This window comes from Homo sapiens, chromosome 1, assembly GCF_000001405.40.
Source record: "Homo sapiens chromosome 1, GRCh38.p14 Primary Assembly".
Lineage (NCBI taxonomy): Eukaryota > Metazoa > Chordata > Mammalia > Primates > Hominidae > Homo > Homo sapiens.
The window spans coordinates 226,783,167-226,810,610 of NC_000001.11; the positions used below are offsets into that span (position 1 = coordinate 226,783,167).

The 27,444-nt window shown below is 47.0% G+C and overlaps 2 annotated features.

The window, feature by feature from the left end:
- Window positions 3,743–3,792: a silencer, noted in NCBI's record as "silent region_1892". NCBI's record gives its function as "represses an Ori minimal core promoter by ATAC-STARR-seq in GM12878 lymphoblastoid cells {active_cell/tissue: GM12878}" and the evidence as "EXISTENCE:reporter gene assay evidence [ECO:0000049][PMID:35858748]".
- Window positions 16,142–16,191: an enhancer, noted in NCBI's record as "active region_2671". NCBI's record gives its function as "activates an Ori minimal core promoter by ATAC-STARR-seq in GM12878 lymphoblastoid cells {active_cell/tissue: GM12878}" and the evidence as "EXISTENCE:reporter gene assay evidence [ECO:0000049][PMID:35858748]".

Consider the following 27,444-nt stretch of genomic DNA (forward strand, 5'->3'; position numbering starts at 1 on the left):
CATTTATTTAATCAATTTAATCAGTTTCCCTTGTTCCTTAGCCAAGCTTCCCACATACTCACCCATTGACTTGGAATGCCCTGACTGGGGAAGGGAGTCTCTGGTCCTCTGAGTGACTTGGTTTCTTGCTTTGAATCAGTGACTGGGCACTTTGGTTTGTACGTCAGTCTCTATAAGCCAGGTTAATGTTAATTGGACCCTGAAAAAAATGGTCACCCTCATGGTGTGAGACATCAGATTCCTGAGCCTGCATGACTAAACCCAACCGTGACAAATTTGCCAAGTTAACTGTGGCCCTGAGAGGCTTCCTGCTGGCTACCAAACCAGCCTCTCCCTAGTGACCCCTCTCCACACTGCCATGTTCCATTAGCCATCTACCTCCCATAGTGAGGTTTTTGTTGTTGTTGTTCTTGCTTTTTGAGACAGGGTCTTGCTCTGTCACTGAGGATGGAGAACAGTGGGGTGATCACAGCTCACTGCAACCTCAAACTCCCGGGCTCAAGCAATCCTCCCACCTCCACCTCCCAAGTAGCCAGGACTATAAGCATGTGCCACCACACCCAGCTAATTTATTTTTATTTTTATTTTTTGTAGAGACGGGGTCTTTCTGTGTTGCCCAGGCTGGTCTCAAACTCCTGGCCTCAAGTGATCCTCCTGGCTTGGCCTTCCAAAGCACTGGGATTATAGGCGTGAGCCACCGCGTCCGGTCTCCTATAATGTTCTTCATCTGATTTTGCAAGTGAAGAAACTGAGGCTCAAAGAGGTTAAATAATGGGGCACACAGCCAATAGGTGGGGGAGCCAACAGTTGAACCCAAGTTTATCTGACCACAAAGTTTCCCATTATTACCACCCTGTCTTTTTTTATATTAGTGACATCTAATGGGATAAACAGGCTCCAAAAGGCCCTTCTCATCAAAACAATAGCCAACTATATTCACACAAGCGGCTGTGCTTAATCACACAGGAACAGAGATCATCACACACACACTCATCCCATGCCTTTGTGTTATTGTTTGAGTCTTTTGTCCCCTGGTCCACAGCCTCTCACGTCCTTCTCTCCTCTATGTGCCCTGTACAATAGGAGCGCTATGAATCAGCAGGGAAGTGTCCTTTGCCAAAGCCAAATAAGGGGCTGGGCCCTAAAAACAGCAATAAACCCCATGAGGCTTTATTAATTCAAACAAAGTGTAATCCGTGGTAGGGAGGATTTCTAGGGCCACAAACAAGAGCGAATATGACTTCCAAAGGAAAAGAAAGGGAAAGCCGGGCTGCCCACCTGTTTATTGGGAACAGTTGTTCCTCTAGCCCAAACCACATCTCCTTAATAGGGAAGAGGAGTGCAGCCCTATCAGGGAGTTTTTATTCTTAGGGCAGGAAAAGAGCAAAAGATGTTTCTTTAGCCTGCAATATGTCAGCATCAAATTTCTCATTTCCCTCTCCTCTCCTCTCCCTCCACCCCACCCCCAAGCCCTCGTGTTTGTGGCCTTTTGCTTGCATGAGAATTTATTTCCCATCTGACACTGTTGAAATAATCCATAGCACCTACTTAGGGGTGAGATGAACCGGAAGGTGTGGAAAATGCAATCAAAATTTCCACTGTGTCTCAGCAGCTAAGCTTCTGGAAAATCAAAGGAAGTAATCTGGACCTTGCCTTGCGGGCCCACATGGTCTGAGAGGGGCTTTGATATCCGGGGCGAGTCCTTAGCATCGCGGGAGCCCTAATCACAATAGAGAGGTGAAGCTGTCTTGCTGCTGGCCTTGGGGAAGGAAGCCTCCGTGGTCCACGGCCCTGCCAGGGAGAAAGATTAAAAAAATGGTTTTCTACCAGGCGCGGTGGCTCAGGCCTGTAATCCCAGCACTCTGGGAGGCCGAGGTGGGCGGATCACGAGGTCAGGAGATCGAGACCATCCTGGCTAACAAGGTGAAACCCCGTCTCTACTAAAAATACAAAAATTAGCCAGGCGTGGTGGCGGGCGCCTGTAGTCCCAGCTACTCGGGAGGCTGAGGCAGGAGAATGGCGTGAACCCAGGAGGCGGAGCTTGCAGTGAGCCGGGATGGCGCCATTGTATTCCAGACTGGGCGACAGAGCGAGACTCCATCTCAAAAAAAAAAAAAATGGTTTTCCGTTTGAGAGTCTCCAAATTATGAAGATAGCCATCGACGGGTTTCATTTGCCACTTGACAGTTTTTTCTTCCCGAAAAGCTTCCTGGTGTCATTTTAAGTACCCAGGAAAGAGCTCTTGTTGCAGGTGGCTGTGACATCAATGAATGCCATTTAAGGCCGGCTTGCTCCTGGGCAGTCAGGGCTTGGGCTTGGTTCAAGGTTCTTGATGGGTACCTAGGCAAAAGTTGGGCCAGCCTCGTCCCCATCCCCTATTTGTTACTAGGGACCCACCCCAAAGGGATATAGTGGATGATAGTGGTGGTGGTATGTGTCTGTGTGTGTGGTGTGTGTGTGTCTGTGTGTGTGTGTTAGGGGCCATTGGTATACTCCCTGAAGTCAAGTTGAACGGTCAATCCCTGTGTTGTTAGAAACTTTTCTAAAAACTCCACACTTTTATTGCCCGCTATGTGAAGCTGAGCATCTTGTCTTAAATTTATTAATACATTTTTTTTCAAATGTCAGAGGAGATAACCCTGTAGGGATTGAGCGTTCATTGTACACAGACCATCTGTGTTTGATTTCATCAGTCTCAATGGTTTTCCCTCCGTCTTTCACCTTTCCAGACTGAGGGGTCCTTCTTCCCAAGCAAAAGTCTGTGCTCATCTTTACCCTTCAAAGTTGACTCCCTTCCATGTGGGGCTGGGCAGGCCAGGGAAAAAAATGCCAGCTAAATAGAGAGGCCCTTCTATCTGGGCATGGATGTGAGGCTTCTATGCTACTTTCTAAAAATAAACTGCAAGCATGTAGGTGGTGAGGGAAATGCAAAATCAATTCTCCCTTTCTTCTAGGGCACACAGGTAGACTACATTGTCCTGCCTTCATTGCAGTAATAGTAGTATGGTTATGTGACAAAGTTCTTGCCAATAGAATATGAGCAGAAATTATATGCATAATTCTTACTGGCATTAAAAGAATGAGCATTCCTCCTTCATGCTTTTGTTCTCTTTTCTCCAGCTGGACAGTTGGAACCTGCAGCAACCAAGCCTTTTTTTTTTTTTTTTTTTTTTTTTTTTTTGAGATGGATCCTTGCTCTGTTGCCTAGGCTAGAGTGCAGTGGTGCTATCTCAGCCCGCTGCAACCTCTGCCTCCTGGGTTCATGTGATTCTCCTGTCTCAGCCTCCCAAGTAGCTGGGATTACATGCACATGCCACCATGCCTGGCGAATTTTTGTATTTTTAGTAGAGATGGGGTTTCGCCATGTTGGCCAGGCTGGACTCAAACTCCTGACCTCAGGTGATCCACCTGCCTCAGCCTCCCAAAGTGTTTGGATTACAGGCGTTAGCCACCATGCCTGGCTGCAACCAAGCTTTGACATGCAAGTGACAATGGTGTCACAGAGCAGTGACTTGGAAAGAAGCAGGGTCTCAGAATGACCAGGCAGAGCAGAGCTTCATACCAGCGTGGAACGCTCACCTGGAACTACACATGAGAGAGATTGAAACTGTCTGTTCTAAGTCACTGGCATGTTGGGGCCTCTTTGGTACAGCAGGATAGCCTCACCCTAACTAGTTTACATAAGAAAGTTCTGCTCCCCTTCCTCCCTGGAGGAGGGGGAAAGGCACAGACATTGAACTATTGATGGCCAGTTTGATAGAGATTTTTGCTTTTGTTTTCAATGCAAAGGTTTCAAAAGTGCTTTGAACCATCTTCATTCATTCATTCCACAGGGATTGCCAAAGTACCTCTACATGTAGGGAGGCGGTATATTGCCTGCCTCCCATACCAAACATTCTCTGCCCACCCTATGCCCACCCTATGCCCACCATATCCAAGGAAGCCACCTTCCCAGGTTTTCAGGAAACAGGATCCATAGAGAAGAAATGTGAATTGCTGGTCAAATGCCTTGCTGTGTGGGCAGTAGATGGAGGACAATGAGGATGGAGTGTTTAGGTCAAGAAAAGCCTTCTCTGTCTTTGGGCACCAGTCTCATTCCTGCTCTCATAGACTTGCAATTGTTCACTTCCATTTATTCACCACTAAATTTATTCCTGACACACAAGTCTCCCTCCTACCCGAGTCTGTGTCTTTCAATGCAGTTATTGTCAATGATAACTGTTTAAAGGAGGCAGGGGCTGTGTTTGGTCAGAAGGCTTGGGGGCGTCCCCTGACTCTTAACACTTCCCAGCCAGGGTATTTAACTTCTAGTCTCTGGAATTCAGGTTTCACATCTATAAAATGGGACAATTTCTTCTGTCCTGATTGTCTCACTTAGTTGTTTTAAAGTTGAGACGCAAATATGGAGTTTATGAGTTTTTCTGAGTCCCATCATTTGTAGCCCTAAGAGCACTTAAGTGCACTAGACACCCCCAAATTGAGGATGATACAATCTGACATGGTGACCCCCAAATGAACCACTGCCCCCTATTTATGAGGCCCAGTCTATAAATTTCCAGATCTGCAAATATTTCCTTTTACAGAGGCCTTAGTGAAAGTAAAGGGATCGTCCAGATGTCCATCAATGGATGAAAGAATAAACAAATTGTGTTATAAGCATACGATGGAATATATTTCAGCCATAAAATGGAAGTACTAACACACACTATGATGTGGGCGAACCTTGAAGGCATTCTGCTACATGAAAGAAGCCAGACACAAAAGGTCACGTATTGTTTGGTCCCATGTACCCGAAATATTTAGAATAGCTAAATCCATAGAGACCGAACACAGGCTGGGGTTGCCAGAGGATGCGGAAAGGGGAAAATGAGGAGAAACTGCTGATGGGTATGGAATTTTATTTTGGAGGAACTAATTTATCTAGTTCCAAATTTTATTTGGAACTAGAGAGAGGAGGAGGTGGCATAGCATTGTGAATTACTAAATGCTACCGAATTGTTCACTTCAAAATGCTTAATTTTATGTTATCTGAATTTCACCCCTATAATTATTTTAAATAAAAGGAGCCAATGAAATGATAGTGTTTCACAATGGAACCTCAGGAGTGGCTGCCTGTGAATCTTGTGATGAGTTATTCTTTAAGCTCTCTGAAGAGAGTCTCCTCCATTCTCTCCACTCAGAACCCTTCTGGCAGATCCTCAAATAATGTTGTTTCATTCAATGTTGTTGCATTACAACAGTGATAAGAGAAAAAATAGATTCCCAGCTGGGGTAACCGTCTGTGTGAGTTTACTGTCTCCGCATGTCTGCGCAGGTTTTCTCCAGGCACTCCGGATTCCTTGTACATCCCAAAGCTGTGCACACGAGGTTCATTGGTGTGTCTATGTGGTCCCAGTGTGAGTAAGAGTGGGTGTAAGTGTGATTGTGCCAGGGAAGGAATGGTGCCCTGTCCAGGGTTGATTCCCACCTTGTGCTCTGAGCTCCTGGGATGGACTCTGGTCACCTCTGACCTTGAAGTGGAATAAGCAGGCTGGAAAATTAATGAATGAATGAATACAAATTATTGTCCAATAAAAATCTGTAAAGTAGACAATAATCATAAAAATGCAAGACAATAAAAAACATAGTACAAAAATGCTCAACAAGCCACCGTATTCGTTACCGTTTCTTTTTGAACTTCATGGTGGTCAGAGATGGTCCCAAAAATTTTCCCTTTGCAAACATTTATTCATTGGTGTAACCCACCACCAACCACGACCATTGTCACTCATTGATTACTTATTTTCCAAAGTTGGGTAAAAATCGTACTCATTTTGATTAATTTTTCATATATACATACATATATACCTCATATTTATTTCATGTGGTTAATAGTAGAAGTGTTTTGGGTCTCTATTTACAAGTTTGGTGACATTTTTATGACCAGAAATATAACGGAGGAACTTTACTCTTATTAGCCTGTGGGAAAATTGCTTTCATTATGCATCATTTCACTGAAAGTTGTAGTTTCTGAGAACCCATCTGACATTCAGTGGGGACTTACCATACCTGTAAAGCACTAACTGCTCTTGGAGTTACCGTGTCTTTGATGCAACAAGGGCTGAATCAGGACTTGATTAACTTCACCAACTTGCTGCCTGCCTTAGCTTCTGGGTTCATGCTCAGCCAGCTTGAGTCGGGACACTCTGAAATTTATATGTATATATTCACTACATCCTACAAATATTGGAACAGCCATTTCAGAGAAATTAGGCAGATCCAGGTTTCCAGGACAGACTTTAAAAAGTGAAAACTATCTGTGTGATGGGGAAGGTGGGCAGTAAAATATTCATGGTGATTGTGTCTTATCTGTGGATGCTGAAAATATTAAGATGTGGGCTTTAACTCCCGTTTTTATGTTTATCTAAGTATTTTAGAACCATTCTACAATAAACAGGATTTGTTTACGTAATTTTAAGGAAAATATAGATGGGGATGATTTGTTTAAAGATGTAGTATATGCACTCATCAGAAATGATATTCATTCATCAGACTTTTACTTATTTATTTATTTTTGTTTTTTGAGAGGAAGTCTTGCTCTGTCACCCAGGCTGGAGTGCAGTGGTATGATCTTGGCTCACTGCAATCTCCGCCTCCCAGGTTCAAGTGATTCTCCTGCCTCAGCCTCCTGAGTACCACCATGCCTGGCTAATTCTTGTATTTTAGTAGAGATGGGGTTTCACCATATGGCCAGGCTGGTCTTGAACTCCTGACCTCAAGTGATCCGCCTACCTTGGCCTCCCAAAGTGCTGGGATTACAGGTGTGAGCCACTGCGCCTGGCCTCATTAGACCTTTAGGAGTCCACATAACAAATGTTTCTGGAGCTCTGGTAGGTATGAGGCTTATAAAAATGAGAATGGCTCTCTATAAGAGAGTTCATGGTATCATCACCCTCCTGTACTATGTGTGATATTAGAAGCATTCAGAAAGCAATGTGGAAACACAGTGGGGAAGATGCAGTAATTCTACCCAGAGGAGGCAGGAAGAACTTAACAGACTTCCGTCCCAGCCAACTGATCTACCCATTCCCTTCATTTCTCTAGTCTTCATGGTTGTCTTTCCTCCTTTGCTTTTATCATACCCTGTCCTTCCTCCACTTCTGAATTACCTATCACTTGCTGATTGTATCATGCTTAATAAACACGTTGTATGCTACTTATCCTTTCATGTACGTATTGCCCCAACAAATAATAATACTTTTTAGGACAGAAGCTGCTATTTTATACCTTTCAGGAACCATAGCATCCTTTAAAAAAAGTGTGTTATTGATGGTTATTATATCATACATATATTCTGAATCCATCAGTAATATAATAGGACTAGGCACAGTGTCTCACACTTGTCATCCCAGCACTTTGGGAGGTTGAGGCTGGAGGATCACTTGAGCCTAGGAGTTCGAGACCAGCCTGGACAACCTAGCAAGACATCGTCTCTACAAAAAATAAAAAAATTAGCTGGGCATGGTGGCTGAGGAGGGAGGCTGAGGTGTGAGGATCGCTTGAGCCCAGGAGGTAGAGGTTGCAGTGAGCCGAGATTGTGCCACTGCACTCCAGCCTGGGTGACAGAGCAAGACCCTGTCTGAAAATAATAATAACAATAATAATATTAATAATAACAATAATAATAATGCAATGGGCATGCCAGAATAATCTTTACTATTTGGTTTGTAAAATGCTTAAGATGCATTTTTAAAAGCATCACTGTCATAAATTAAGAGCTGGTGGGCACAAAGCCAGGCCACTCATAACGTTCTCTATCTTTAGGGGACATGAAAGTAGACTGAAGAAGTAGCTGAAAAAATGAGAGTTTCATAAAGCTATTAAGTTCATTAGTTGTATCAAAAATGGAAACTCTGAATAAAATATGTTCCCACACAATTCAGTTTTGTTTAAATGCTTAATACAAGGTAAGGCATGAAAAGAATCATCGTCTAGGTTGGAAATGATTCTTTCTCTAGAATGAGGGATGATTTCTGAAAACTCTTTAGATAAACAAGACCCTTTTCAATGTATCTTCAGAAAGGCTTGTTGCATTCGTTTGATTTCAAGCTGATGGTAAGTAACAATGAAGCCCAGAGTAACAGTAGCTAAAGTGAAATAGGAGTTTATTTCCTTCTCAGATTTAAGTAATCTGGAGGTAGCCAGCTCAGGGCTGGTGCAGCCCTCCATGGTGTCAGGGAACCAGGTCTTCTATCTTGTTGCACTGTTTTCTATGGCTTCCATTTCCAAGGCTCAAGATAGCTACTGGAGCTCTAGCCATTATGTCTGCAGTCCAGAAGGCAGAGAGAATGAAGAGAGAAAGAAGGATATACTCCTCCCTTCTTCTTCTTCTTCTTTTTTTTTTTTTTTTTCCCTTGAGATGGAGTCTCGCTTTGTCTCCCAGGCTGGAGTGCAGTGGCACAATCTCGGCTCACTGCAAGCTCCACCTCCTGGGTTCATGCCATTCTCCTGCCTCAGCCTCCCGAGTAGCTGGGACTACAGGCGCCCGCCACCACGCCCGGCTAATTTTTTGTATTTTTAGTAGAGACGGGGTTTCACCGTGTTAGCCAGGATGGTCTCGATCTCCTGACCTCATAATCTGCCTGCCTCAGCCTCCCAAAGTGCTGGGATTACAGGCATGAGCCACCGCGCCCAGCCTACTCCTCCCTTCTGAAGGACTCTTCAGGCCAGGCACGGTGGCTCATGCCTGTAATCCCAGCTATTTGGGAGGCTGAGGTGGGTGGATCACCTGAGGTCAGGGGTTGGAGACCAGCCTGGCCAACATGGTGAAACCCCATCTCTACTAAAAATATAAAAATTAGCCAGGCATGGTGGCGCACACCTGTAATCCCAGCTACTCAGGAGGCTGAGGCAGGGAGAATTGCTTGAACCTGGGCGGCGGAGGTTGCAGTGTGCTGAGATCATGCCACTGCACTCCAGCCTGTGCGACAGAGTGAGAAGCCATCTCTAAATAAATAAATAAATAAATAAATAAATAAATAAGGACTCTTCAGGGAAATTGCATAACACCACACTTGTCACGTTAGACTGAGGAGTGTGATCTCTATCCTTGGCAGCAATGTGCCCAGTTAAATATTGGAGTGCAGGGATTTTTAGCCTTTTTTGGTACCATGAACCCCTTTGGCAGTCTGCTGAAGCTTATGGACTCCTTCTTAAAATAATGTTTTTAAGTGAATAAAATAAAATACATAAGATTACAAAGGAATCCAATTATACTGATAAGTGGTGCTGTTGACAAAGCCTTTGAAATCTGTAGACCCCAAGTGAAGTACCCCTTCTACAGTATAGAAAAAGGGAGAGAGTTATCAGTCTCTGACATGTGACATAGAAAAACCTTTCGGAATGGCTTTGTTCATGATTCAGCAATTGTTGAGCTCCTATTTTAAGTCTAGCCCTGTGCTGTGGATTATGATGGATACAAGAGAAGAGGTGGGCTCTCCTCTCAGACAGTTATTCTCTAATTCACCTACATCATTAATAAAAGAGAAAATATTCAGCTCATAAGGTGAGTAGACATATAGGCCAGATCCAATATACCAGCATTTAGGGAGTTCAAAATAAGGGAAAGATCACATGGAGTGGGCCTTGGAGGAAGGGAAGAAAGAAAAGTATAAGATTTATTCTGGGGCAGGTGCAGTGGTTCACCCCTGTAATCCCAACACTTTGGGAGGCCAAGGTGGGTGAATCACGTGGTCAGGAGTTCGAGACCATCCTGGCCAACATGGTGAAACCCTGTCTCTACTAAAAATACAAAAATTAGCCAGGCATGGTGGCTGGTGCCTGTAATCCCAGCTGCTCGGTAGGCTGAGGCAGGAGAATCGCTTGAACCCGGGAGGCAGAGGCTGCAGTGAGCCGAGATCGCGCCATTGCACTCCAGCCTGGTAGAAAAGAGCGAAACTCTGTCTAAAAAACAAAAAAACAAAAGAAAAAAAATATTCTGAAAGAAAGGAGAGGAAGGAGAGGCAGCATATTTTGGGGAGGGGGCAGGAGTATGTAAGGGGTAGAGATGGGATTGGCAGGAGGATCCTAAGGGGTTCTAGAGAAAATGGCTTAAGAGAAGTGGCTGGCAAGGGGAGCATGTGGTTGAGCTGATTTGAAGTAGAGAATTACTATTAGTTATTGGAAATAAACGGATGAAAAGGAGTCCAGAAATTTCTGTGTGTAGAGAGGTCAGTATGAAATTAAATAGAATTAAATTAGATAGAAGGAAAACCTTCACTTTTCTGACAGTGGGTGTTTCTGGGGAGATGAGCGGGTAGTAGTTAGAAGGACTGAAGTTTTATCTGTAATATTTTATTTCTTTAAAAACAGAAAGAGGCCGGAGGCAAATATGAAAAAATGTAAACTGTGAAGAATAGGTGTTTGTTATGTCATTCTTTGTGATTTTCCTCTCTATCTTTAAACATTTCACCAGTTTAAAAATGGTCATCATCACTTTTAAAAGTTTAAATGAATTTTTACTCTCTCCTTGATATGATTTAACTTACCAAATAAATTCAAGCTACACACATTCTAAAGTGTTATGTCTACTTTAAAGAGGCTGCTCTCTTCCCAGTGCCCTGAAACGTGACATGATTGTTCTTTCCTTAAATTCTTTCCTTAGTCTGGAGTGTGCTCTCATTTCCTCCCTGCTCAGCCATTGTCTAGATTCCACTCAGGACCAGCTCATATCCCTTTTTTCCAAAAATCTTCCAGCCCATTTTGATTTCTTCTTGCGGAACTCCTATAGTACCACTCACATGTACCACTTAGCATATGTCATTTGACTTTGAATTTAACTTGTCTTTCCCATAGAAATCATGCAGCTCCTTGAAGGCTTAGATTTCTTATATTCAGGGATGGCAATAAGAGCTTCCATTCCCCCATTCCCATGCTATCCCCCCAGCAGACATCACTAATCAACCACATCACTTTTTCCCACTGAGCTTGGACATGGTCTCAGAATCCTTCTTAACAGAGCTCCTGGGGCTGCTATAATATTGCCAATTGCAGATTGGGCATGCAGAAGAAACCTCTTTCCATCCCTGCCTATACCTCTATAGTTTCCAAAGTACCAGTGTTATTCCCAGGAGAGACTCAGAAGGAACTAGCATAATCCTGAAAATGCCAAAGTTATAAAAACCTATGACAGCTTAGGTTTTGAAGAAATCTCATAGCTCATTTTAGTGATAGGCTGATGGCTGATTCAACTGTTTGAAAGTTTCAAGAAAACCAGGGGACTACGAAATGTTGGAAAAGGGATTAATATAATCCCAAACACCCATGCACCTGATATCCATTTAGTAGGAAAACATGGCTGCCAAGCTACAGGTGAAAGACTCAGGTCCAAAGGCATTTCATCATTTCATTATGAAGTGGAAGAACGAGCCTTTCCAAAGCTCTCCAAGGCCTTGGGAAAGCCCTAGGCCAGAGAGAGAGGAGAAGGGTAGGGGACTGTCTCCTTGGTATCCTTGAGAAATAAGGCAGCTGGGACAGAGGCCTGAGGAGTCCTCACATGGACATCCTTGAAGTCCTATTTACCCCTGAGTGTGTCAGAGTCCTGGAGAGTCCTATGCCAACAAGCCGGTCAAGGGAGCCTCTTCCTGCGTGGTTTTTTCCAGCTTCATTGTGGTTTTTTTTCCTACATTTTAAATTTTCTATAATGACCATGTTTTATTCTTACGATCAGAAACTGAAAGAAAAAAAGAAAACATATCCCAGAGGAATACCACTCTTTTTTCCTAAAGTGGTATCTACTATTACTCTACCTTTGAAATCCGAGAGAAAGAGAAAAGCAAAGTGTATCATTTCAGCCAGCAAGAAAGTGGGAACTGGAAACTGGAAGGGAATATAAAATCCCTTCATCAAAATACTCTGTATGGTGACTGGTCATTTATTCACTCATGCATTCATTCTGTCTTTCTTTCCGTCATTTGCTTAATAATCATTTATAGAGAGGCTACTACGTGCTTGGGACACAAGAGAACAAATTAGATACCACCCCTGCCCTCATGAAGTATTCAGTCTGCCAGGGGGGTGAGGGTGGAGTGAGCAGAGGACAGGCATTTATCAGATACCACACATAAGGATGTTCAATTATAACCAGGCTAAGCGTTGTACCATAAAGGTATGTGATGGCCTGGGCTGGAGGAAAGAGGTAACCTCATTGTCATTCCCAGCTCTGTGCTGTCTCCACCATCACTGCATTGGCTGCGGACTGTAGCAGAGCCTCCTTCCTGCCTCTCCCTCTCCAGTCCATCTTGCAGCTCCTTTTACTACCGACCTTCCCACAGCCCTGCTTTCTGTACTGGGTAGCTCCGTAACACACGATTGCTCAGTATTGTCTATTGTCTTTTACTTTCTTTTTTTTCTTTTTCTTTTTTTTTTTTGAGACGGAGTCTCCATCAGTTGCCCAGGCTGGAGTGCAGTGGAGCAATCTCGGCTTACTGCAAGCTCCGCCTCCCGGGTTCACGCCATTCTCCTGCCTCAGCCTCCCGAGTAGCTGGGACTACAGGCGCCCGCCACCACGCCCAGCTAATTTTTTGTATTTTTAGCAGACACGGGGTTTCACCGTGTTAGCCCGGGTGGTCTCGATCTCCTGACCTCGTGATCCACCTGCCTTGGCCTCCCAAAGTGCTGGGATTACAGGCGTGACCCACCGCGTCCGGCCTTCTTTGTTTTTTTTTTTTTTTTTTTGAGACAGGGTCTGGCTGTGTCACTTAGTCTGGAATGCAGTGGCAAGATCATAGCTCACTGCATCCTCGAACTCTTGGGCTTAAGCGATCCTCCCACCTCTGCCACCTGAGTAGCTAGGACAACAGATACACCACCATGCCCAGCTGAGTTTTGTTTTTTGTTTTTAATTTTTGTAGAGACAGGGTCTTGCTATGTTGCCCAGGCTGGTCTCAAGCTCCTGGGCTCAAGCAGTCCTTCTGCCTCAGCCTCCTGAAGTGCTAGGATTATAGGCATGAGCCATCATGCCCAGCTCCTATTGCCAATTGTCTTAAGGTTAAAGAACTCTGTCTAGCTTGGCCCTCCTGGGGGATCTCACTTCTCCCAGGGTCTCCACTAGCCCATATGGCACCTTTGGTGCAGATTTTTAAAAGGTGGCTCTTGCTGGGCGTGGTGGCTCACACCTGTAACCCTAGCACTTTGGGAGGCTGAGGCGGGTAGATCACAAGGTCAGGAGATCGAAACCATCCTGGCCAACACGGTGAAACCCCGTCTCTACTAAAAATACAAAAATTATCTAGGCGTGGTGGCAGGTGCCTGTAATCCCAGCTACTCAGGAGGCTGAGGCAGGAGAATTGCTTGAACCTGGGAGGTGGAGGTTACTGTGAGCCAAGATAGCTCCACTGCACTCCAGCCTGGCAACATAAGGGAGACTCTGTCTCAAAAAAAAAAAAAACAAAAAACAAAAAAAACAACAAAAAAAAGGTGGCTCTTCCAGCCTTTGACCAGGGCATACAGCTTGGGGACCCAAGCTCAGGTTGAATTTCAGTCCCTAATTCTCTGCTTTCCTGTTTTACCTCCGCAACTAGACCACATCTGTCCGGAGCAGAAATTTTCATCTTTTTTGTATTTTGATTCTCACAGCTGTCAACTAAGCCCTGGACACAAGGCACAGTATCTTCCTGGGGATAGATATGACCAACTGACTGATTCTTTTTTTTTTTTGAAATGGAGTCTCACTCTGTTGCCCGGGCTAGAGTACAGTGGTGCGATTTCGGTTCACTGCAACCTCTGTAACCTGTGTCTAAGCAATTCTCCTGCCTCAGCCTCGCTGGTAGCTGGGATTACAGGCACCCACCACCACGCTGGGCTAATTTTTTGTATTTTTAGTAGAGATGGGGTTTCACCATGTTAGCCAGGATGGTCTCGATCTCCTGACCTCATGATCCACCCACCTCAGCCTCCCAAAGTGCTGCCATTACAGACGTGAGCCACCACGCCCAGCCAATTTTTGTATTTTTAATAGAGACAGGGTTTCGCCATGTTGGCCAGGCTGGTCTTGAACTCCTGATATCAGGTGATCCATGCACCTCAGCTTCCCAAAGTGCTGGGATTACATGCGTGAGCCACCGTTCCCAGCCTGACTGATTCTTAAATGACAGCAGCTTTCAGTGGAATCCTGTTCAGCCTCCACATGTGCTCTTGGAAAGTATTCACCCAACCGGAACACCACAAGACGTCTTGGAGTTTCCAGGGCAGTCCTGATTTTGAATCTTTGAATCTCACTGTCTAACCATCATCATGGAAAACTTTCTCACTGCCTTAAGGCCTCCATTTCTCCATCTGCAAAGTGGGAGGAATAGCTGGGCACTTTGTATACAGACAACTGGGAAGAGAGGACAAATCAGGGCACATTGAAACCTTCAGTGGCTGAGGGGACACAGGAGGAAGATGCGTGGTGGAGAGAAGGAGGAGGTAATGGGTCCTGTCTCTCCTGATCTTCACAAGGAGGAGGTAATAGGTCCTGTCTCTCCTGATCTTCACAAGGAGGAGGTAATGGGTCCTGTCTCTCCTGATCTTCACAAGGAGGAGGTAATGGGTCCTGTCTCTCCTGATCTTCACAAGGAGGAGGTAATGGGTCCTGTCTCTCTTGATCTTCACAAGGAGGAGGTAATGGGTCCTGTCTCTCCTGATCTTCACAAGGAGGTAATGGGACCTGTCTCTCCTGATCTTCACAAGGAGGAGGTAATGGGTCCTGTCTCTCCTGATCTTCACGAGGAGGTAATGGGTCCTGTCTCTCCTGATCTTCACAAGGAGGAGGTAATGGGTCCTGTCTCTCCTGATCTTCACAAGGAGGAGGTAATGGGTCCTGTCTCTCCTGATCTTCACAAGGAGGAGGTAATGGGTCCTGTCTCTCCTGATCTTCACAAGGAGGAGGTAATGGGTCCTGTCTCTCCTGATCTTCACAAGGAGGAGGTAATGGGTCCTGTCTCTCTTGATCTTCACAAGGAGGAGGTAATGGGTCCTGTCTCTCCTGATCTTCACAAGGAGGTAATGGGACCTGTCTCTCCTGATCTTCACAAGGAGGAGGTAATGGGTCCTGTCTCTCCTGATCTTCACGAGGAGGTAATGGGTCCTGTCTCTCCTGATCTTCACAAGGAGGAGGTAATGGGTCCTGTCTCTCCTGATCTTCACAAGGAGGAGGTAATGGGTCCTGTCTCTCCTGATCTTCACAAGGAGGAGGTAATGGGTCCTGTCTCTCCTGATCTTCACAAGTGAACCGAGTTTACCACAGGAACTGTGAGCAGTTGGGGCCTACTGCTCTGGGGAGAGCGCCTCTCACCAGTGTGGCCCTTATCTGTTTGCAAGAGCCGCCTCCTTCCTGGGCCCCAGCCACCTGTGGTTGACTGAAGCTCTCAAATGAAGTTTGACCCAACCACACAACACCCAACCTGAACACCACAATAGGTCTTGGATTTTCCAGGGCAGTCCTGATTTTGAATCTTTATCTCACTGTCTAAAAATGGTATGTTCCAGTTCAGGGCCCAAAAACCTGATCAGCTGCACACTGGGAGTCCTAGGTGAGAGGTTAAAGTGGAGACCTTGCCTTGTTTCTCACTGGCACCCCAGGCTCCCGCCTCTGAACTGTGCCACATGGGAGCACCTCTCCTGCTGCTCCTCCGTTTCCTGAGCCTGGCGCCTGCCCTCCCACTGTCCCAGGACTCATCTGACCGTCATGCCAATGGCGGGCTCACTGGGGTCTCGGGGAGATCAGGCCTTCACTGTCTAATTCATCAGGGACTAGCAGTGGGATGTGGGTTGGGGATGTTTTGGGGTGGACGGGTCTTTTGATGGGTGGCACTCAGGTCATGTCAGAACAGGGGCTGAAGGCAGGTAGAGGCAGGAGAAGCCCCGCTTCCCTCGGCATCCTGCGTGGGTGAACAGAAACAGGAAGCAGAGGAGTGTGACGGGGTTGGAGACACCAGAGCACAGTGTGATGTGATGGCTGCTCTGCGGCTCGTCAATACTGAATCTTCCAAGGGGGCCATTTCCTCATCTATACAAAGGGCCCGTAACTGGACAGGATGTGTGCTGAGTGGCTGCCCAGCTGCGGCTCCTCTCCGAGAACACCAGCCCCTGGCAGTTTCCTGAACGCAGTGACCCCGCTGCGTACCTGTGACCCCACCCCTGACCAGGCCTGGGAGCCTCTTCTGTCTGAGGCAGCCCTGTGGGAGCTGGCAGGAGGAGAGACACATGGAGGGGACTTCTGCGGCTGAGGGACAGCCAGGAGAAGGGCAGTGGGGAAACTTGTGAGTAAGCAGAAGCCACGAGGCAGGGCGAAGGCGCGTGAAGACAGAGCCGCAGGGGCACAAGGAGCAGCTGCAGACGCTGCAGGGTCCCTGGGAAACTGAGTCACGCCTTGGGCACAGTCACTCCGTGGGGCACAGCGTGGGCACTGCTTCTGAAGGCACACCTGCTGCTGTGGGATCCTGAACAACACTCCAGTTCTCCTGAAGATCTGATTGTCTTGATGCCAAACTGATTTCCAGTGTTGCTTTACTTCTAGTTTATCCCTACAATTGTGCTCCCCGGCCTGTGGGGACCAGCATTGATCTCTGTCCCTTGCAACCTGAGACAGTCAACAACTGGTCTCAGTGGTTCATCTGAACCCACTTTACAGAGGAGAAAATAGAGTCATAGAGGTCTGTGTCCAAGGTTGTGGCTGGTAAGTGCTGGAGCCAGGATTGATTCCAGCTTCTTTCCCACTATACCCAGGTATTATTGCTGAAAAAAAGGGAAACCTAGAATGTTATGCCTACAGGGTAGGCGTGAGCTCCCGCCATGGCCGGAGTTCCAGCTGTGTCCTGGTTCTCATCACCCAGACACGCTTTGAACCTGAAGGTGGAAAGTGGAAAAATGCCAAACTGGTTTGAGAAGAAAGGGGGAGAACGTCAAGTGGAAAATATTCTGTTCTCTGCCTCATCATTAGAAGAAAGGAAAGGGGTGTGTGTCTCATTTTTCTTAACAAAAGCAACACAGGAAGAAAACTGTTTATTAAACCAGGCATAGTGGCTCAGGCCTACAAACCCAGCACTTTCGGAGGCCGACGCGGGTGGATCGCTTGAGCCCAGGAGTTCGGGACAAGCCTGAGCAACATGGTGAAACTCTGTCTCTACAAAAAAACTAAAAAATTAGCTGGGCAGGATGCTGTGTGTCTGTGGTCCCAGCTACCCAAGAGGCTGAGGTGGGAGGATTATTTTGAGCCCAGGAGGTTGAGGCTGCAGTGAGCTATGATCACACCACTGCACTCCAGCCTGGGTGACAGAGACTTTGTCTCAAAAAAAATTTTTTTAAAAAGAAAAAGAAAAAGAAAACTTTAAGACACTGCATACTTTAGCAAGTAAGCAAAGATGCAGAGACACTCATTTTGGCTCTAAAGCTCTTAAGAAATCTTTGCAAAAGAAGAAGAAAAAAAAAGGTAATCAAAAGCCTTTTTTTTTTTTTTTTTTTTTAAAGAAACCTGAAATGGTTCAGGTGACTTGAGGGCATGTTTGGGCAATTTTGTTTTACTTGAGGTCATATAGATAGCTATAATAAGCTGTCAGCTTATTCTACCTGTACCTTGGAAGTGGCCAGTCAGGAAGGAGGTGAACATTATGGGTCTTTCAAGGATTCTAGGGGCCCTGTCTGATCCCCCACTGGCTCCATTCTTGCCAACCTCTCCTAAACACTCTGACCTAGGGCACCTGACTCAGTTGTTAGATGTCAAAGTGAGAGGCATATCCATTCTCATTCATCTTTCAAAATTGAGTTCCACTGCCTCCTCCTCCAGGAAGCCTTCCTTGATTCTCTGTCTCATTCCCACTGCTCTTCCCATTCAGGATTAAATCCCTCTCCTCTGTGTCCCCACCTTTTCCTGTGCAGTAGTGCATCTCTCTGTCCTGGTATTCATCATACCACATTATGATAATCAGTTCACACTGTCAGGCCCTCAGGGTAAGAGGCAAGTCTTCTTTAACTTCGTATTATCAGTACTTAGCCAAGGGCCTGGCATGTAGTAGATGCTCAATAAATTTTGCTGAATGAATACAAGAAAAGAAGGGAAGTGGGGAGGACATTTTGGGAAATATGAAATTTTCTTTTTGAGATTTATCTCAAAAATACGTGTCTAGTACTTGTCCACAGATAGCAATTAAAGTCAGGATTCTATTTGCTGCAAATGATTGAGTTTCTTCACTCCCAGTTGTAACTTGGGCACCTAAGGCAGGAGGAAATTGGGGTAGATTTAGAGGGATTTGGGAACATTGTGTCTGAGGAGTATGTGTGTGTCCTAACACATTTCTGAACTAAGTAGATGTCTCTGAACCACATACAAAAGGCAAACATGCCACATTTTGTCTCCCTGGAACTTAGTAACTTAGCAATTTCACCTTTGGGACCACGGCCACCCACTAGCATTCAAATCGCTTAGTGCAGAAGGGGGCTTGTTCTCTTGTTCACTATTGCAGCCTCAACCCTAGAAAAGGCCCTAGCAATGGGTAGGTCCTCAATAAAGATTTGTTGAATGATTAAATAAGTGAGAAAAGGACCTGAGAGCAGCTTAGGTGCCACAAAATTTCTGCCGTAGATATCTTGAACTTCACTCCCAGGAGAACCCTCATATTCTCACTCAAGACAGTTTACAAACAGTTCTATCAGATTTCATTATCTGATTCTATCTTCGCTGGAGACAAAAAATTGGAAGAAAGGCAAAGAATTTTTACTCTACCTATAGAAATATGTTTTCTTTATTACTTAGGAAGAAGGAAAAGTAGATACAAGACTTCAAAACACACAGTAGACAAGGGCCAACTGTGGCAGCTATAAGCAGCTTTCAGTAATGCCTTGGTTCCTGGGAGCATGAACACACAGCATTAACTGACATGCAAAATGATAACCCAGTCATGAAATACAGAAGAAGTTCATTTTGGCTTAATTGTCTAAGACGACAGGCAAGTCAATAAAACACTTCTTTTTTTTTTTTTTTTTTGAGACAGGGTCTCCCTCTGTCACTCAGGCTGGAGAGCAGCAGCACAATCAACACCCAGCTAATTTTTAAGTTTTTTGTAGAGACGAGGTTTTGCCATGTCGCCCAGGCTGGCCTCCAATTCCCAGACTCAAGTGACCTGCCCACTTCAGCCTCCCAAAGTGCTAGGATTATAGGCCTGAGCCACCACGCCTGGCCCAGTGAAACATTTCTGAAAGGTCTCTATTAATGATGGATAAAATTGAAAAAAGTGAGGTGCTTAAAGAATTAATCCAAAAGCGTTTCTATTAGCTGGACTATTGTGGTATCTTTAGGTATTTTTGATGATCAGGTTTGTTGCTAATTATCCCTCTGTGGCTTCTCCCATCACCGGATGCCTTGGGGTCCTGTCCCTGGAGGAGGTGGGAAGATGTGGTCCCTGGGAGCTGCCCTGTGGACATCCCGGAGTTGGAGCCCACAGTCTAAACCAGTCCTTACGGACTTATTTCTGATTTTCTTAGACTGTGAGAAAAGGCTTCTCTAGGGAGCATGGAATACGATGCTGATTAAACACGATTGTAGTTAAGTTTAGGATTAGTGGCAATCGGGGAGAGAAGACAGTAGAGAAAGCCACCCAGGGCTGAGCGGGGAGGAAAGGGCCTTGGATACCTTCCCCCTGCCCCGTGAGTGAGGGGGGCTGATGTGCAGGTGGCGAGCATATGTGGAAGGTGGCACTCCCCCAGGTGGCACTGGATAAGAGAACACCTTTGCTAGGGATGTTTGCTTCCCCCCACAGTTCCTATGTCGAGACCCTTACCCCTACAATGTGTATTAGGAGGTGAGAACTTTGGGAAGTGATGAAGTCAAGAAGGTGGAGCCCTCACGCAAGGGAACTGTGCCTTGTAAAAGAGACCCCAGAGAGCATGTGAACCAAGAAATGGCCCTCACCAGACACCAAATCTTCTGGTATGTCGATTTCAGACTTCTTGACCTCCAGAACTGTGAGAAGTACGGTTGTGCTGTTTATGAGCCACCCAGTCTAAGGTATTTCATTAAAGCAGCATGAACATACCCTTCTTCCTCCAGACCCCCGTGGGCAGAGCAAATGCCTGCAGAGGAACTGAGGCTGGACCAAGAGGAACCCAAGGAAAAGGTGCTGCCATGTGGCTTGGACAGGGCAGCCTGGGGGTAGTCGGTGGGGACAAATGTGCTCATGCTGCAGAGCACAGGGAAGAGTCGCTCAGCTCGAGGAGACTTTATTTATGTATTATTTGTTTATGATTATTTGAGTCAGGGTCTCACTTTGTTGCCCAGCCTGGAGTGCAGTGGCACAATCATGGCTCACTGCAGCCTCAACCTCCTGGGCTCAAGCGATCCTCCCACCTCAGCCCCCAGAGTAGCTGGGACCACTGGCATGAGCCACCACGCCCGGCTAATTTTTGTATTTTTGTAGAATTGGCGTTTTGCCATGTTGCCCAGGCTGGTCTTGAATCCTGCGCTCAAGCAATCCATCTGCCTCAGCCTCTTAAAATGCTGGGATTTCAGGTGTGAGCCACCACAACCAGCCTCGAGGAGACTTTAAAACACCTCCATCAATCCTCTTTGAGAATCCACCCAACACCCGGTGGATGTTCAGTGGCCTCCATGATCCCAACTTCAACAATCTTGAGGGGGTCTGACAGCTCCTGGACAGTCGCTCTGGAGGGCTCCCCAGAGGGAGGGGCAGAGCTGCACCATCCCTCGGATACCCTCCAGGGGCTGGTAACCACATAAAATCCAGCTGGTGGTCTCACCCAGTAGGAAGACTTTGACTAGTGGAACTAGCACAACAACAAAACAAAAGCTGCCAGCATCTGTTAGTTGAGAAGAAGGCCTGTCCTGAAGCAGCCTTTGCTTCCTTCTTAAAGGTAAATATAAGGCTGGGTGCGGTGGCTCAGCCTGTTATCCCAGCGCTTCAGAAGTCCGAGGTGGGAGGATCGCTTGAGCCCAAGAGTTCCAGATTAGCCTGGGCAACATAGCAAGACCCTGTCTCTAAAAATAAAAAAAAATAAATTATATATATATATATATATCTCCACGGATGATGTTGCACACCTGTGGTCCCAGCTACTTGGGAGGTTAAGGTGGTACAGGGTTTTGGAACCAGGTCTGTCCCTCTGCTGGCAGGGCTGCTTCTCACCTGTGTGAGGAGTACCAGCATCTGCCCAGGCCCAGCTTCTCACCTGGGACCTCAGCTGCTCTTCCCAGAGATCCAAAGTAGCCTAGGAAGCCTTGGGAAGGGGCTCCAGGGTGAGACTAACTGACCATCCCATGCCCATCAGAGGTGAGTGCCAATGGGTTTCAGCCCTTCCAGGTGGCACTTCCTGCTGACAGAAGCAGCTGCTGGCCACCTGCTGTGTCTGGGGGAGCTGAGTCCCACCCCAGGGTATCCCCACAGGAAGCGGAGGTGACTCCAGGGGTCTGGGCTGGGGTCTCTGTCTCATCCTTGATTGTGTAAGTGTCTAGATCATCCAGACCAGACCTTGAACACTCAACAGAGCCACTGTTGAAGTATTCTGGGAAAATATATTTGGTGGCAAAATCTTGCTTCCTTCTGTTTTATGTATGACATTTCCCTTAAAGGGAAAAAAAGTTGGAATGACTAGTATCATTATTCTTTTCTTGTTTTTATTTTCCACCCCAGAACCATCTGTCATTAAAAAACAGTTTACTTTACACCTGTCGGGTTGAGTTCCACATTCAGAGAAGATTGGTTGGAGGACAATGGTGACCTCTGGACGCCCTGCGTCATGGGGGCTGGGAGATGCAGGAGGTGAGTGAGTGTCACCCCACAAGGGTGCTCAGGAGAGAGCTGAACTGAGCATCTGCAGAAGAGAGATAAGAGCAGTCCCACAGCTGTGTCTGCACTGTGCATGGGCCAGTGAGGTGTTTAAGGCAGGCAGATGGAAATCCATGTCCCCTGTCTCTTCTCACTGTGTGGGAGTAAGGACACCCAGTAGGGTGGAAATGCAGCTGAAGCTCTGCCTTTGTGGGTGGCAGATCTCATCTGTGACGTGGTGGGCAGGGATCACATATGGTGGCAGCTAGCACAAAAATGCTTTACATTGAGATTTTTTTTCATCCTAGAGACTATGGGGTCCCTATGGGACCAGAGAGACCGGGGCCGGAGCTGATAACTATCGTTATTAGATTTCAACCTTCTCATAGCTTCATATGGGAGGAGTTAAATCAGAGACTCTAGGCTGAGGTTGCTGCTGTAGACTCCAAAGGTACAGATGGAAATGGGAAGATGCATCGATTGTCTAACTATTTTGCTTACACCAGGTCTGATATCCAGCCATTGAAAGATGGGTATCACACATTTGGGTTTCGAGCTTGATGCTGAGCTAAGGCATCTGAGAGCTTCAGTGTTCATGTGAGCTTAGATAAAGTTTCCCACAATTTTTTGAGTGACATTTTCAGACGACTCAGATTGAGGAAATGTCAGTCTAGGCAACCAGAAATGACACTGTCTTCACGCTGTCCCCTCCACCAGAACGTCTGAGCTCTTACTAGGCACAGGCACGCTAATCAGAACTTTATTATGTAACCAATGAAGAGTCTGCTCAGGGTTTGAGGAGCAGGATCACCTGGTCAGATGTATATTTTCACAACGATCACCCTGGGTGTGTGTGGGTGGTGGGTTCTGAGGGGGAAACTGGCCTTGCAGACACCAGTGGAAAACCAGTGGCATAACCTGGATGGAAGTTGGTGACAAAGGCCTGCAAATCTTTTTTTTTTTTTTTTTCGGATAGGGTCTCGCTCTGTCACCCAGGCTGGAGTGCAGTGGCATGATCTCGGCTCACTGCAAGCTCCGCCTCCTGGGTTCAAGTGATTCTCCTGCCTCAGCCTCTTGAGTAGCTGGGACAACAGGTACATGCCACCATGCCCGGCTAATTTTTGTATTTTTTTAAGTGGAGACAGGGTTTCACCATATTAGCCAGGCTGGTCTCAAACTCCTGACCTCAAGTGATCTGCCCACCTCAGCTTCCCCAAGTGCTGGGATTACAGACGTGAGCCACTGCGCCTGGAAAGGCCTGCAATTCTGCAGCAGTTTGAGGGATGGAGAGGTTGGGGGTGCCAGTGGGCCAGGGTCCCGTCATGAGGTTATCACGTAGAGAACCCAAAATGTCTAATCATGCCTCAGCCCAACCACCTGCTTAGCCACAGAGCTCCTCAGGAAATATCCAGGAAACAGAGGCAGAGCAAGGAAAAGAAAATGCTTCTTTTGTTCAGTTGTCATATGAACTCCCCTCTCCTCGTGTTTCCTTGCAAGTGTCTGGATATCAAGGAGTGCGATACCCTGGTCTCCCTCCACTCCTCCACAGACTCCCAGGGCTGACAGCACACGGCCTGCTGCTCCATCCTTCCAGTTTTACGGAAGCTGGATCTCCCAGTTTCCCAGTCCAGAGGCTGCCCTGGTCCAGAGCTGACCGTGGGAAGAAATCTGCTTGCTCTCAGTATAAGCCACATTTTCTAACACCAGCTTTATCTACAGCAAAAACGACAATTTGATATCCATATGCCTTATTTCTCCTTTTTTGTCTCTTAACTGGTTCAGAAGTTGGATGACAAAAACAAGCATGTCATTTATTATGCCCCCTCACACCCTAAATTTAACATTATCTGGTGCTTTGGCCCCAAACTCCAACCTCTATTAAACTGGGTTGAACCATGTGCATTATGCTTTGGCCTGGGTTTGAGAGCAATGCATTTTATTGTCCCTAAGTCCAACTCCCAAATTAAAGGGGTAAGCTTCAACATGAGGAAAGGCCTCAGGGCAGCCTCAGAAGCTGGAGAGTGGGCAAACTCACTTGCCCCATTAGAGCCCACAAGGAATGGTAGCTGGGAAACCAACCCATCAGACCACCATACTTGCTCTTTGGGAGGAAGTGAGGAGAGGGAGAATCATTTGGGGGAGGAACAGAGGAGGACTTGAGGCCCACAGACAGAACAGGAAAACTAAGAGAGGCCTGTTGAAGAGGTAGAACCGGTTGGGTACAGTGAGTGAAGTCACTGTGTGGGAGGAGGCCTGATACTCCCAGCTTGGGAACCTGAATGGATGGAGGTTCCATTCACTGGGATGGGAGACACAGCAGTGCAGAAGGATGAGGGAGTTGTCATGGCTAGGTAAAAGGGAAAGAAATTCTGCAAGGCTCTAGAAGCAGGTATTGCTCATGCCTTACAGAACACCCCTTCATTCCAAAGGCCAGAAGGATCACTGAAGTGTGCCACATACAAGAGACCAATAAAGCTGGGTTAATAGAAGCCATGAAAGCCTGAAGTTTGATTTGACAAACATTTAGTGAGCACAAGTATATGTCGGATACTGTGCCCAGATCTGGGAATACACATGGGGTGAGCAAAAGAGATCTGGCTCTGCTCTTGGGTGTTTAGGAAGGCTTCTCCAGCTTCGTCTTTTTTGTTGATCCTTGTATGGGTTGGGAGTAGAATAAACTCGTTGTCCCACCTGTCAATGCTGAAGATCTGTGTATGTTGATTTCCTATTGTTACAGGCTGGTGTTAGAAAATGTGGCTTATACTGAGAGCAAGCAGATTTCTTCCCACAGTCAGCTCTGGACCAGGGCATGCTCTAATAGCCAGCTCAAGAGCCAGCAACAATAATTTGCCCAATTAGCCAGGAATGGAAATTCTAAGCAGTGTCCTTTCCATCTCCCTTTTGCTCAATTAAAACATTTATTACATACATGTTATATATAATCTCCGTAAGACTGTAGATAAAGGGGGTGTGTCCAGGGCCCAACTCCTAGTGAGTGCTAAATAAATGTCACTTTGTCCATTTCCTCTCTCCCCACCTGTGTGCCCCGATGAGCACAGGAGGCATCACACCCACACAAGTGCATTGAAAGAGTCTTGTTTGGGGATTTCTCTCGTTTGGAAAGAAAAGCCCTTGGCCGCTCCCACCATTAAAAGCTTGAGTGGCCATAAGACCTCTCACCTCCCTTGGTCTATTTCCACACCTGGAATAGAGGGCCTGGCCTAGGTCAGGAGCTCCGTCCCTGGCTGTGCATCTGAATCACCTGGGGAGCGTCAAAAACCACGTCTGGAGATTCTGCTTCACCAAGTCTGGGCTCAGAGCTGGAGGTCTGTGTTATCAATAGCCTTTCTCCTGCAGGGATTCTGGCACAGCCTGGAATCCAGACCAACCCAGGCAAAAATAGCCCAACCAAGCCCTGGGATGACCTGGGCTTGTCAAGTGAGGCTGAGGACTCGGCTGTGGTTTTCGGCAGGGGCATCAGTATGGCTGTGGGGCTTTCAACCTTGGAGAAAGCCCAGTGGGCAGTCAAGCACCTGAGAGAGAACAGGAGTGAGGTAATGGGAAGCACTGGCTTCCTGCTTCTGGGGTCTGAGGAAATGTCAGACCTGCCCATGGGGATGCTCCCAGGTCGGCACTCTCAAAGAGCCCCAGGACGCATCAGACCCAGCTACCCCGGGGGGAAAGAGTCTGTCGCCGGGGATTCCCTTGTCTGGAGCCTTGGCAGACAGCTCAGGGTAAAGTTTTAGGATGGTGGTCACTCCAGAGGTCTTCTAAGAAGGAGTTCTTCTCCCTGCTGGCTGACCCCTGCGGAGGCTGGGAGCCAGGTGCTGCCTTCAGCTTCCTAAGGAGACACTTGTGTCCTTTCTGCAGACTCTTCCTGGCCCCCTGGACTCTACCCTAGCAGAGCCTGGCTCCAGGGGTGGGGTCCTTTGCATGATTTTCAGGAGGCTCTGGATGTTCAGAGCCCCTCTGCTGACCCTATGGTGCCATAGGGCTGTGTGTGGCTGCCTCTGTGCAGCGCATGAGGGTCCTCTGGGGGGAGAGGGGGTGCAGCCAGCATGTGCTGTGCAAGCAGCAGTCTGGCTGTGTGCCTATGGGCTTCCACAGGGCTCCGAAGGCTGATGCCCTCCTGATAGAAGGTGGGGAAGAGTCGGAACCACAAACAAACAGGAAAAGCACACCCTGGCTCTCCAGATGGTGCAGATGAGGGAGGGGTGCTGGGAAGGCCTCTATGGGGACTCAGGAGAGGGACTGAGATGTGTTCTGAACCCCATGAGTGGGTGGCCGTTGGGAACAGAGTCCCGCTCAAGCATGATCAGTTCCAGTAAACAGGGAACAACTGTAGGGACATTTCATGGAATCTAAGCAAAGGAAGATCTGCATAGCTCAGCTTCAAAAGGACAGAAATCCATCCAGACCACACTGTCTCATCTCTTTCTCTTTCTCCACCGGCTCCCTCAAGTTCTTGCGATCACTTCTTGGAACCTCTGCCTCTCCCTGCTCATCTGCCCTTTTCTGTCTCCAGCCAGCTTGCTTTACCCATACTTTCTATTCCTTCTTAACTGATCCTCTGCTTTGGCAATACCATCTTTTGGTCCCTCAGTTTCCACATTCAGAATCCCATTCAGAATGAACCAAGAGAGAAATCTAATCAGCCTTTTTCACATCAACAGTCGATGGCCTCAGGTAAGATGCTCTGCCTCGTTCGACCCCCTGGATTCATTTAGGAGGGGTTCAGGGCAGATCTCCTTAGCAGGGCAGTGGGCGTGGCAGCAGTGATTGGCAGCTCTGAAGAGGTCTCTGCAGCCTGAGTATTTGAGTGAGCTGGGAACTGAGGAAGGCAATACACCAAGTATTCAGAATTTCCACCGTGGACATTGTTATGAGGCGACCTGAGACTTCCCTTGTGCTTTAAGGCAGGTTCCCGGTGTTGGCATTATGCCTGGCACGGGGTGCAGGTATATGGCCACCAGGAGCAGTGGTGGTGTGTTAGAGTGCAGAGGATGCTTGCACTCGCCCTGGAACATCTCCGCCAGCTCCTGCCGTGGCCTCCACTGGTCCATCAGCAGCTCCATCTGCAGTCATTCATGTTTGGCAAGTGGTGCTGCTGCCCCTGGGATGCAACCCAGGCCCAGCTCAGGGTGCAGGGAGGCTCCCAAGTGCTGTTTGACTTGGACACAGTAGTCTCTGCAAGGGAGTCACGGGAAGGAGCGTGAAATGATTCCAGATTCCTGATTTTCTATGGTATGACAGGAGTGTTTCTCTGAGCCTCCTGATTCTCCTGGCCACATTCCCTGGTTGGTTTTACTTCCTCGGGTCATTTTTGAAGGGCCCTTGGCCAAAGCAGCTCAGAGGGGTCATGAGGCTGAACAAAGGCTCTCCAGGAGGTGGGGGCTGAGTTTTCTCCTGCTTACACAAATGGAAAAATGGGGAGGTCATTTGATTCCCATAAAATACCCCTCCAAGCAGACTGCTGATTTCCAGCTAACCACTAAAGACTGGAGAATGCATTCCAAGCCAGCTTTAGCAGTCACCACAGAAATTGCCTGGTAACTGGTGGCAGCAGCTTGGCGGTGTGATGTTGTGCTGAACAGCACACATTTGAATAGCTTACTGAGTAGCTGAAAAGGGCAATGACCTTGACCCACTT